At 45.7% G+C, this 12,029-nt stretch overlaps 1 protein-coding gene across 11 annotated transcripts in view, besides 1 other annotated feature; it reads left to right on the forward strand.

Moving 5' to 3' along the window:
• C3orf20 (chromosome 3 open reading frame 20) overlaps window positions 1-12,029 on the forward strand; it is a 97,896-nt gene that overhangs the window by 43,191 nt on the left and 42,676 nt on the right. For 9 of the 11 annotated variants that reach the window (XM_006713341.3, NM_032137.5, NM_001184958.2 and 6 more), the window contains 3 exons: window positions 3,322-3,453; window positions 8,570-8,693; window positions 10,108-10,357. In XM_006713341.3, coding sequence (XP_006713404.1) covers window positions 3,322-3,453; window positions 8,570-8,693; window positions 10,108-10,357 — 506 coding nt within the window. Of the gene's footprint in view, window positions 1-3,321; window positions 3,454-3,742; window positions 4,277-8,569; window positions 8,694-10,107; window positions 10,358-12,029 lie in introns of those variants that run through there. The other 2 variants (XM_011534158.3, XM_017007310.2) reach the window with 2 other exon arrangements.
• Window positions 248-367: an enhancer, noted in NCBI's record as "active region_19520". NCBI's record gives its function as "activates an Ori minimal core promoter by ATAC-STARR-seq in GM12878 lymphoblastoid cells {active_cell/tissue: GM12878}" and the evidence as "EXISTENCE:reporter gene assay evidence [ECO:0000049][PMID:35858748]".

The raw sequence follows: 12,029 nt of genomic DNA on the forward strand, positions 1-12,029 counted from the left end.
TAATATAATAATTTAAAATTTCAGATTTACATATTTTCAGCTCTAGAATTTCCACTTAGTTACTTTTATATTTTTTATTTCTCTGCTGAGATTCCATATTTTATAATTTCTTACAAGTACATTTTCCCTTACCTCATCTAGTGTAGTTAAATTAGTGTTTTAATGTCCTTGTCTGAAAATTTCAATGTCTGGGTCTTATCAGACTGAGTTGGCCTCTGTTGATTATCTGTTGCTTTGAAAACAGCTCACACTTCACTGGTTCTTCACATATTGAATAATTTTGGACTGTAGGTGGACATTGTGAATGTTATTTGGTGGAGTGTCTGAATTCTGGTGTATTTCTCTGAAGAGTGTTGATATTCTTGTTTTAACAGGCAATGAACTTGGTTAGACTGAAACCACAAACTTTGTTTCACCTGCAGAAGCTCACGTCTCAGTTCAGTTTTTATGTTTGTTTGTTTCTTCAACCGTAAGATGTCTTGAGTCTTCCCTGCTCAAGGATGGTTCAAGGATCAGCCAGAGACAGGGACAGTTTATATACAGAATTCTGGCCTCTCCTTCTCTGGTGCTATCCTTTCTGGAATTCTTTCTACACTTTCCTGTGACTATGGTTGCTCCAGGTTCCATCCTCTGGGTTCTGCAGGCCAGAAAGATGGTGGAGTTTGGCCATGACTGTGGCCTGCCTTCAGGCTAAAGCCGTAAACCTTATCCCATGCTGCTCCTTTCTTTTGAATTTTGACTCCTCTTCAAAGTCTGCCTGCATTTGTTCACTCTTCATAGCCTTTGGGTCATTGTTTTTTTTTTTTTTTTTAATTTTTTCAAGCTTATAGTTATCTATGAGGAAGGCAGCCTGTCAGGCACTGACTCAGCTATACTGGAAGTAGAACCAGCTGGTTGATTTTTAAGCTGAGGGCTGAAATGCTCAGTCTAGCATTTTTGGTTGACTGGAGAGAGACCAGTGGGTGGGCTAGTGGAGAGACTAGTTGGGGAGTTACTAGCCAGACCCAAAAGCATTAAAAATAGCGGCAATATTTTTTAAAGGGGTCATTTCAATAAAAGAACTCAATGGTGCACAGGCATGGCCTGTAAGGGATAGATGAAAGGAAGAGGGAATTGTAGATGACTCCATGACGGATTATGTGTCTGGGAGGAAACAGAGAAGTTTCTGAGAGGATCAGTGACCAAAATGATTTTAGACATGTTTATTTGGTTCAGTGGCCATATCTCTCTGGGCTACTGTGACATGGACCCTGACCTAGGGTGAGAGACTGGGGATAATGGATATAATGGGCTGGCTAATGAACTCTCAAGAAGACAAGTCTGTGGTTTATAGAGCTGCCATACTTGGGAGTTTGGGGGAGAGAAAGAAAAACCATCCAGGGAGCAAGGATAATAAATGAAAGCTGTACTATGCTAAGCTATGAAATCTGCTGAAATTGACTAACCATCCTATGAGAAAATTTCATGGGATAAAACTTTTTACTTTTACCTTACTTTTTACTATTATTGTCCCCAGGCTCAGAGAGGCTAACCAATTTGTCTAAAATTGCCCAACTGGTAAATGGCAATGCTGGGATTTGACCCTTGCTCAACTGCAGAGCTTGAGCTCCCAACCGTGGCTCTATACTACATCTCTCTAGAAGGAGGACAAGAGAGAGGAGGGTTTTTTTTGTTTTTTTGTTTTGTTTTGTTTTGTTTTTTGTTTTTTGTTTTTTTGAGATAGAGTCTCACTCTGTCGCCTAGGCTGGAGTGTAGTGGCGTGATCTCAGCTCACTGCAAGCTCTGCCTCCCGGGTTCATGCCATTCTCCTGCCTCAGCCTCCCGAGTAGCTGGGACTACAGGTGTCTGCCACCATGCCTGGCTAATTTTTTTGTATATTTAGTAGAGACGGGGTTTCACCGTATTAGCCAGGATGGTCTCGATCTCCTGACCTCGTGATCCGCCCACCTTGGCCTCCCAAAATGCTGGGATTACAGGTGTGAGCCACCGTGCCCGGCAGAGGGTTTCTTTTAAGTGAGAGTGATCAAGTTCAAAGATGTCAAAAGACTTGGCAAGTCATAGTTCAGTGCTTTCAGGGTGCTGGAGGGAACTAGTCTCCAGACTGCAGGGTGTGAGGAAGAAACTCAAAAGGAAGTTAAGCGTAGACCCCTGGGCAAGCAACTGGAATAGTAGAAAGAAATGGAAGGAGCAAAGCAGAGAGTGGTTGTTGTTGTTGTTGTTGTTGTTGTTGTTGTTGTTGTTGTTGTTGTTGTTTTTGGTTCAGAGGCATCCTGGGGGTATTTGTAGATAAGGGGATATTGTAGGTCAAGGACATTGAAGACTGAGAGAAGCACAGCAGTGTAGGGCTGCACACTCTGAGGCTCTCCAGGAGGGTCCCTGCGTATAAATTGTGCTCTGCACATGCAAATTGTTCAACAGCCTTAAATGTGAATTGCTCTACCTTGTCTTGACAATATCTGCTCATGCTGGGCATAGGCCTTAATGGCTTACAAAGCCACTTCCACATTTTTATCTCATTTGATCCTAATAATAGCCGTTCAATGATTTCATGTGGAAGAAGTTGAGATTCAGCGAAGCTAACTGGCTTGTTATCAGGAGGCAGAACTGGGACTCACCCGTAGACCACAGAGCTCTCAGTAAGGCGTGAGTTGTTATAAGGGCAACTCACTCTCCCCAAGCTCCAATCTAGTACTGCTTAAAGGAAATCCCACTCTTTTGGAAGTGATGATAAAGAGTAGCTGCCCCTTTTCCACCCATCTTTGGCTCCTCCTCAGGGGAAGAATAATGACATATTTGTGGAAGGGGCTGAGTATGTGTGGCCCAGGCCCTTCTGGGTCCTCTTTGACCTCTTCCCACCCATCTGCAGAGGGCTTTCCGGCGCTTCCTGCCAAGTGGTCACCTTCCTACCACTGTAGGACAAGAGTCATAGTCAGACCTTGTGCCTGAGTGGACACATCTGTCTGATTCAGGGATAAAGGGTTACCCTCTGATCCAAGCTGCATTCCCAATTCATCTTTACCAGAACTGAAGCTGATTCATCTGCCAGACACCTGTGACTCTTTCACAGTGGGTTTCATGCTTGAGTTGGAAAGGGAAGGAGTAGGAATAAGGAAGCATCATTTACTTTTTCAGTGGGCCCCCAGGGAAACCTGGAATTTTTCTGTCTTCTCCATGAAGCGGAATTCTAACATAAGAACTGGAAAGCTCTTACAAATCTTCTGCCCCAAGCCAACAGGGGCTTTGTGCTTCGTGGTGGGTCAGGAAGGGGTGGCTGGGGCCGTTGAAGCAGGGATTCTCTGAGTACTGTTTCTTCATCTACAGGTGAATGAGGAAATGAAACTAAAGGTACTGGGACAGGACTCCATCACAGTCACCTTCACCTCCCTGAATGAGACAGTAACACTCACTGTGTCGGCCAACAATTGTCCCCATGGAATGGCATATGACAAACGGGTAAGGCAAGGCAGACTATGCACCCAGCCCTGACCCCTGGGCATCTCAACGTGGGTTGCTGTTTCATATCTCAGGGCCTTTGCTCTTACTCCCCACCACCCTTCCATGCAAGGCCCTGCCTTTTCCTCTGCCATTATTCACCACCTACTCTTAGTACCACCTTCCTGTGAAACTTCTTATATCAATTAAGGGTCTTCCAGTTGTAAGTGACAGAATCCAGTGTGGACTAGCTTAAGCATGAAAAAAGAATATAGTGGCTCAATAAACTGAGAAGTCTGTCAATATGCAGTTTCAGGCATGGCTGGATCCAGGCCCTGAAATGATTCCACCAGATCTTCGCATCTCTTGGCTCTGCTTTCCTCTTTGTTGGCTTCATTCTCAAGGAGTTTCTCTCCTGTTGATGACAAGATGACCATGAACATCTCTGGGCTATTATTATACCAGCTTTAGTGCCCCTGGAAGAAGGAGGGCTTCTGTTTCCTAAACACTCCAGTAGAAATGCCAACATCAACACTCATTGGCTCTATTAACTGCCCATGCGTGAAACATTCCCTGTGGCCAGGAGTATGTATTGCTCCCATTGACTAGGCTTGAGGCTCATGTCCATCCTGGGGGCCAATGTGTCAGATTACTCTCAAATGAACCACCTGGGCAAAGGATAAGGCAGAAGAGTTTCCCTAAAGGAAAATCAAGGTGCTGTTACCAGGAGAAGAAATGATGCTGAGTAGAAAACTACCAGTGCATGTTGATGACCCTCTCTCTACCACCCTCTTCTCATCCCAGGTAGAGTCAGTCTCTCCCTCTGCTCAGCCCCCCTGGCCGTGACAACGTCCATTCTAGACTGCTTTCGTTTCAAGTCTATCGTCTCCACAAATTGAAAATTCCCTGTGATTCCCTCTAATGTCTGTTGTCCCAGGGCCCAGCATGAGGACTACTTCAAATTAAATCTTTACCAAATATTTTTTGGGTGGATGAGAATACAGTGGAGACTGGGAGTCTCATTCTTTCATTCAGTGGGTCATCATGGATCCTACTGTGTATCTGGTGATGTCAAGTCAACATCAGGGAGACAGGTGGAGAGGATTAAGAGGACACAGTCCCTACACCCTGAGTGTATATCCCAAAAGAGAACACTTGACCTCAACACAAGATGGGGTAACCAAAGCTCAGGTGGGTAGAGCAGACTATTTGAGCTCCCCACAGGGCACTCTGCCCACTAAGGGAAGGCTCCTAGAAGCAAAAGCAGGGTGACCACACTTCCCAGTTTGCCCAGAGCCAGTCCCAGTTTATACCAGAGCAATTATATACCTGGAGAAATTGTAAATGGCACTATGTGTCCCCCTCAAAAGTGTCCTGGTTTGGATGATAGATTATATGATCATCCTGAGCAAGAAGCTCTTAAGCTGTGTGGGCATTTGCCACTGTATGCCACAAGCTTACAGACGCCCAAAGCTGGCAGAGCCCAGCAAGGGCAACCAACCCAACGTCCAATAAGGACATAGGGTGTGGGCATTTGTTAGGGGTCTCCTTTGTTACTCCTGGAGGAAAGCATTGCATCTGTTTTCTTTTTCCCACTACATTTTCATTCCAGCAGCATTTCACCTTCATTAATTCATTAACAAATTCAATAAACATTTATTAGCACCTGCAGCAGGCCAAGTTGGCTGCTGGAGATGTAGAAATAAAGAAGTCTCATTCCCTCTAAACTCTGAAATTCTCTCAATCTAATGGAAGAGGCAAAAGCATGGGCACCAATGATCATCTAGCTTCACCCTTGTGGTGTGCCAGAGGGTCATGTGGAATCTGCTAGGAGAGGAAGAGAGGAAGTACCGGAGAAACACAGGTGCCTGTGAATCCGGCATGCATTGGTTACTTCAAAGAGCAAACTACCCGCAAGAGTTTGAGTCCACCTGGGCTGAGATAAATGATCTTGCTTATTGATCCATCTACCCTGTCAATCTGGTTCCACACTCTCACTCTAAAAGGCCATTGGTTTTATTTTATTTTATTTTATTTTATTTTATTTTATTTTATTTTATTTTATTTTATTTTATTTTATTGAGACCAAGCCTTGTCTGTCGCCCAGACTGGAGTGCAGTGGTGCAATCTTGGCTCACTGCAGCCTCCGCCTCCTAGGTTCAAGTGATTCTCATGCCTTCAGACTCTCGAGGATTACAGGTGCCTACCACCACACCAGCTCATTTTTGTATTTTTAGTAGAGACAGGGTTTCACCATGTTGGCCAGGCTGGTCTCAAACTCCTGACCTTAGATGACCCACGCGCCTCAGCCTCCCAAAGTGCTGGGATTACAGGCGTGAGCCACCGTGCCTGGCCAGAAAAAGCTATTGTTAAGTGATTAAGTATGCACTGGCTATGAAGTCACCTATCTATGTTTCTTGGAAACCTTTTTAGGTTGCGTTTTTAAAATGTGAGTCTACTTTTCTTATCAAAGGCAACGGATATTAGAAAATTATTTATTCTCATAAAATTGTGGCAATGCTTCATTTTTCTGGCAACCTCTTGTCTGATTATCTCTGAAGTTTGGAATGCAGCTGAGAACCAAGATACAAGCAATTCAAGACCCCCATGAGCAGCTGAGAAAAATTACTCTCAGTCTGTGTACCCAACAAGCCCCTTAGGCCTAGAAAAGCCCCTAGGAATTCAAGTCTTATTTTCTTACCTTAAAGCAACCTCCTCAAGCTGGAATTAGAAGTCTAGAGCTGTGCTGTCCAATATTGTAGCCATGAGTCACACATGGCAATTGAGCCCTTGACGTGTGACAAGTCCAAATGGAGATGGGCTCTGCATGGAAACACACACTGCATTTCAAAGACTTAGTGTGAATTGAGAATGTAAAATTTCTCATTAATAATTGACTATTTTGGTGATATGTTGACATACCCTATTTTTGATATACTGGTTTAAATAAATAGATAATTAGAATTAATTTTCCCTTTTAAAAATTTTTTAATGTGCTAACTAGGACATTTTCAACTACACATGTAGCTCACATTATATTTCTAGTGGATCATGCTGGGCTAGAAGGTAGAGTCTCTATTAAGGGAAGCTTATCAAGGCATGGTTTGGCAGTGCAGTAGAAGACTGAGAGGTTATTTAAAATGACACAGTAAATCAAAGAGCATAACTGTCTTAAGGAAATGTAACATAGGGACAAACAGACCAATACATTGAGACAGATTCTGAAAACAGTGCTGCATTATAGAAAGCAGAAGCTGATGTTGACCAAGATTGACTTGCCAAAAAAGTGTTCCGATCATAACCTCTTTCGAGAGTGCAAGCATGTGTACTATGTATGACAACATTCTAACAAGATAAACAGAAACAATGAGTAAATATGCTTTCTTGTGGGTAATAGGATTTCCAAATGTTGACCTTAACCATGTGGTTAAGCATCTCAGGATATTTTACATGAAATCCTGAGGCTTAGAAAATTAGCTCATCTTGCATTCTTGGACCGTGAGAGCTGCAAGGAGCTTCCAAGAAAATGTGCCGAGTGTTGGGGCTCCTCCCTCCAAGTCCCTGTCACTGAGAAGCTTGTTAAATGGCTTCCCCAGACACCCATTGCCCTGGAAAGAGCCACCCATCAGAGAGACAGGCAGAATGGCGGTCCCAGCTTTTACAGCCCTGAGGCCTGGCTCCTCACTAAATATTTCCATCAAGGCAGCTCTTGGGAAGCGAGACAACAGCCTCTGTTTAAATGCTTTATTAGCCCAGTGTGCCACCTCAGGTCCTTTTTGGAAGCAGGCTGAGTATAAATTTCAAATAAATAAATAAGATGAGTGCAGAAGCAGCAACTGGGGCCAAGAATCAGAAGGATGGTTGAGACTTTGCCATTTGTTGGGGACATCCTTTATAGATTTCCTGCCTTCAGCATAAAGAAGGACTCGTGGGCTGACTTTGTTGTTCATCAGGAAATCTGATACTGCCCACCCCACTCTTGCCACTTGAGGATTAAATTCCACAGAAGAGAGTTTTTTTCCTACCTTCTCTATGTTACGTGGGAGATGTAGAAATGATAGATCTTCCTCTCAAGTTGCTGAATGAGTTTAGGGACAAAGGCAGTGAAAAAAAAAAAAAAAATGACCAGGACCCAGGGCAGAAAGGACAGGAAGGGACATGTGTGAAAGTTCAGCAGAGGGAGCAGTTGCTGTTGGCTGAGGAAATCAGGGAAGGCTTCCTAGAGAGAAAGACCGAATATAAATACCTCTGGAAACTGGGCCTGATTTTGCAGTGCCACTGACATGCCCCAGCTGTTCAGAGCAGGTCTTAGATTGGGTCTCCTGGGAAACAGACTGTGGAATGGAACCAAGTATGTAGGAGTTTACTGGAGACTGCTCTTGGGAACAGCCCCTTTGACGGTCTGAAGGAAGGCAGAGGGAGAGGGCAGCCATGGCAGAGGCCTCAGCGATCCCGTGGGGAGCCCTGGAGTCAGAATGATCCTTCAGCGTAATCCCAAATGGAAACAAGAGGCCTGGGCCTTTGTGGCCTGCAATTACCAGTCAGCTTCTGTAACCTTGGCCAGAGGCAGGTTCTCAGCTGGGCAATGTCAGCAGCCACTGTTTTGACAGCTGGAGGGATGAAGGGGCTCCTGGGGGATGCACCGCAGCATCCACTGCAGAGGGAGGCCGGCAGAGAACGCTCTGCAGAAGGCTTTATCGTCCACTTACTCACGAATGCAATAGCATTTACTGAGCACCTGCATGACAAGCACTCAGACACACAAGAGACCAAGACTCGGTCCCTTCCCTCCAGAAGCTTGCAGTCTAGTGGAAAGATAGGCTCAAACACAGCTGTCACTTGGCAAAGTGCTAACTTCCATCTTCAAGCTGCATTGAGCATGATGAGAGTTCAAAGCAAGAAGCAGTTCTGCCCAGTCGAATCAAGGAAAACCCTCCGAGGAGAGGCCATGAGTCAGGCCTGGGTCTGTGTGCAGGAACTCACTGGGCTGAGAGGGAGAGAGGTGTGTTCCAGGTAGGGGTAGGGGGGCAGGCAATAGCACATCCTCTGAACCGGAGCAAGTCTTAGTTATCCTGGACTAGGCAGCTGGCTCTTTGAGGGGATGGTGACACCCGCCCTCCCCTTTGCCCCTCTCCAGCTGAACCGCAGAATCAGCAACATGGACGACAAGGTGTATAAGATGAGCCGAGCCCTGGCTGAGATCAAGAAGCGGTTTCAGAAGACAGTGACTCAGTTCATTAATTCTATCTTGCTGGCCGCAGGTAAGGAGGCTGAAAGGTGGGCGAAGGCCTATCTGTTGGCTTCCCCAGTCCTGAGATTCTGGCAGGTCATCTCAAGGGACAGACCTTTACTTTACCGCCCATTCCATCTTCAGTCTGAATGTCCAGGGAAGTAGGCATAGCAGAGATATTTCCCCATTTTAGGTCCCACTGGGCTCAGGTCACTTAAGGCCACACAGCTAAGAATAGTGACGTGAGCCCACTTGCATTTCTGAGCTCTCTCCCAGAGTGTCTTGCACATCTCCATGAGATTGTCTTATTTTCCTGGGTTTCTCGGTAGCTGGCTGTGTCCCTCTTGTTCCCCACCCCACATCTACATTCACCTTTAGCTCCATTTCTCATATCACCCATCATCCATCTGGAGCCCCTGCTCCTCCCTTCTTTTTGTGGATCTCAGAAGAGAAAAATGCAATCACCTCTCTAGGCTGTCCCTGTTAGGCCCACAGAGATCCCCCAAGGCCAGCATGGGTGGCCTCAGGACCCTTCCACCTCTGAGCCCCTCTCCTGACTGCTGATGGGCCTGGGAACAAGGATACATTGATCCTATTCTGTGTCACCCCCTGGCTGGGCATGGAGGGGCTGTGCTTCCCCCACTGTCTCTCTGGGGAGTTTCTTCTCGTCCCCAGAGATGTCGATTGCCCCTTTCTCTGGGAAGCCTTCCTTGACTTCCAATCGGTCACACCTCCTTTGGGCTCCCATAGCACTTAATTATTTATTTTTTCTTTTTTTTCCACACAAGTGAAAGAAAGGATCCCACAGCACTTTGTACATGTTCTAATTATACATCTTACTACTTAGCATTGTGACTATGTCCCCCATCCTGCTCCCCCACTGGGAATTTCTGGAGTCTGGGAGTTCTGTCTTGGGGTGCCTCTGCATGCTCAGCACCCACATTTGAGAAATGCTGGTGAGTGAAGAGATGAGAGGTCCCTGGCCTTAGAAGTCTTCCAGTCTAGTAGGGAAAGCAAGACAAGAATATAAATAAATACAATACAACAAAGAAAGTAGTTGGAATTGACTTAAAGCTGGAGACACAGGGAACAGCATTCTCAAGGAAGGAATAGCATGGGCCAGGAATGCATTGTGTAGCTAGCCTCTACATTTGGTGCTGGCGAGGACACAGGCTGAATGGAACAGGCCCTAGGTGTCTTGAAGAATGAGTACGAAAGGAGACCTATTCATTCTTACAACACAACATTTGGCAGTGTCACTGATGAGTGCACTGGGACAGGAGTACTGTATTGGACAGCAGAGGGGAGGTGCCGGAGAATCAATGAGAGCGGAGGGGAGGAGATGGGGGTGAGCCAAGGTGCACTTAGATGTTTCCAGTCTGGGACCAGGGGCAGAGGAGTCCTGGCCATGAAGGGAAAATGACAGCAGCATCTTCTGTTAACAGGTCTGTTTACCATTGAATATCCCACCAAAAAGGAGGAGGAAGAATTTGTTCGGTTCAAGATGAGATCCAGAACTCATCCCGAGCGGCTCCCCAAGCTAAGTTTATACTCAGGAGAAAGTCTTTTACGATCTCAGTCAGGCCACCTGGAATCCTCAATTGCAGAGACTTTGAAGGATGAGCCTGAGTCTGCTCCTGTGAGCCCAGTTCGGAAGACCACCAAAATCCACACCAAAGCCAAGGTCACATCCAGGTTGGCTTGGTCCTTCACGTCTTCCGCAGCATCGGGTGTTGTGATGGGCAGTGGGCACAGGATAGTGAACCCAACAGATGGGGCCCCTCTCTTTTGGAGCTTAAATTCCAAGGGCAAGTAAAGTGAGGAGATAAACACATGAATAAATGATATAATTTTAGGCAGCGATAAGGACTAGGAAGAAAATAATTGGAGTAATGGGTTAGGGCAGGGGTTGGCTATGGACCAAATTTGGCCCAGCTGCCAATTTTTTGTGGGTGAGCTAAGAATGGTTTTGATATTTTTAAGTGCTTGAAGGGAGAAAAAAATGAGAAGATTTCATGACAGGGGAAATGATATAAAAATTTAAATGTCAGAATCCTTAAATAAGGTTTTCTGGGAACACGGCTACACCCACTCATTCACATATCATCTACAGCCACTTCCTTGTGACAGTGGACATTGAGGGTCAGGCCTGCAAAGTCTCAGGTATTCACTACCTGGCTCTCTACAGAAAATGTTGCCTGGCATCTGTGATAGAGAGTGGCTGGAAAGTGGTGTGGGATGGGCTGTGGTAGAGGATGAGGGAAGGCAGTTCTCAGGAGATTATACTGAAACCCAGATGCAAAGGATGATAAACAGGCGGCCAGGAACAGATGTGGGGAAGGAACACCAGGCAGCGGGCACAGCAAGTCCAAAGGCACTGAGGCAGGAGTGAGGTTGGTATGTGTGAGAGAGTAAGAAGGCTAGTGAGGCTGGAGTGTGGTGGAAAAGGGGACAACGACACGAATTGACGACTGAGACGTAGGCAGGAGTTTGGTCATGTAGCCTTGATAGTGTTATGGAAGGCCATTCCATAAGGAAGTGACATCATCTGATTTATCTTTGTTTTTTTTTCAGACAGGGTCTCTCTCTGTCACCCAGGCTGGAGTGCAGTGGCACGATCTCAGCTCACCGCAACCTCTGCCTCCCAGGTTCAAGCGATTCTCCTGCCTCAGCTTCCCTAGTGCTGGGACAACAGGCATGCACCACCACGCCTGCCTAAGTTTTGTATTTTTAGTAGAGACAGGGTTTTGCCATGTTGGCCAGGCTGGTCTCGAACTCCTGACCTCATGTGATCCACCCGCCTGGGCTCCCAAAGTGCTGGGATTACAGGCGTGAGCCACTGCACCTGGCCTGGGATTTATCTCTTTTTAACTTTAAATAAGTATTAAAATATTTTTCATGCTTTAACTTTTCAAAAAATATAAAATGCATACAGAAAAATGAGCAAATCCTAAGTGTGTAGCTCAATTAATATTACAAAGTAAACATATCCTATAACTACCAAGTCAAGAAATAGAGCATTACCAGCTCCTTAGAAGCCCCCTTTAGTCCCATCCAAATGACCAATCTCACCCTCCTTCCCAGGTGGAAGATTGCTAACACCAGAGATTAGTTTTTATTGTTTTCTAAAACCTGATTAAAATAGATCTCTTTGGTGTGTCTTCTTTGGTGTCTGGCATCTTTGTCCCAACATTATGATTGTGAGATTTGTGCATGTTGTTATGTATAGCAATAGTTTCTTCTTTTTCATTATTTTATAATAATCGATTTTAGGCCGGGTGCGGTGGCCCACGCCTGTAATCCCAGCACTTTGGGAGGCCGAGGCGGGCAGATCACGAGGTTGGGAGATAGAGACCATCCTGGCTAA

Source organism: Homo sapiens, chromosome 3, assembly GCF_000001405.40.
Source record: "Homo sapiens chromosome 3, GRCh38.p14 Primary Assembly".
Classification (NCBI taxonomy): domain Eukaryota; kingdom Metazoa; phylum Chordata; class Mammalia; order Primates; family Hominidae; genus Homo; species Homo sapiens.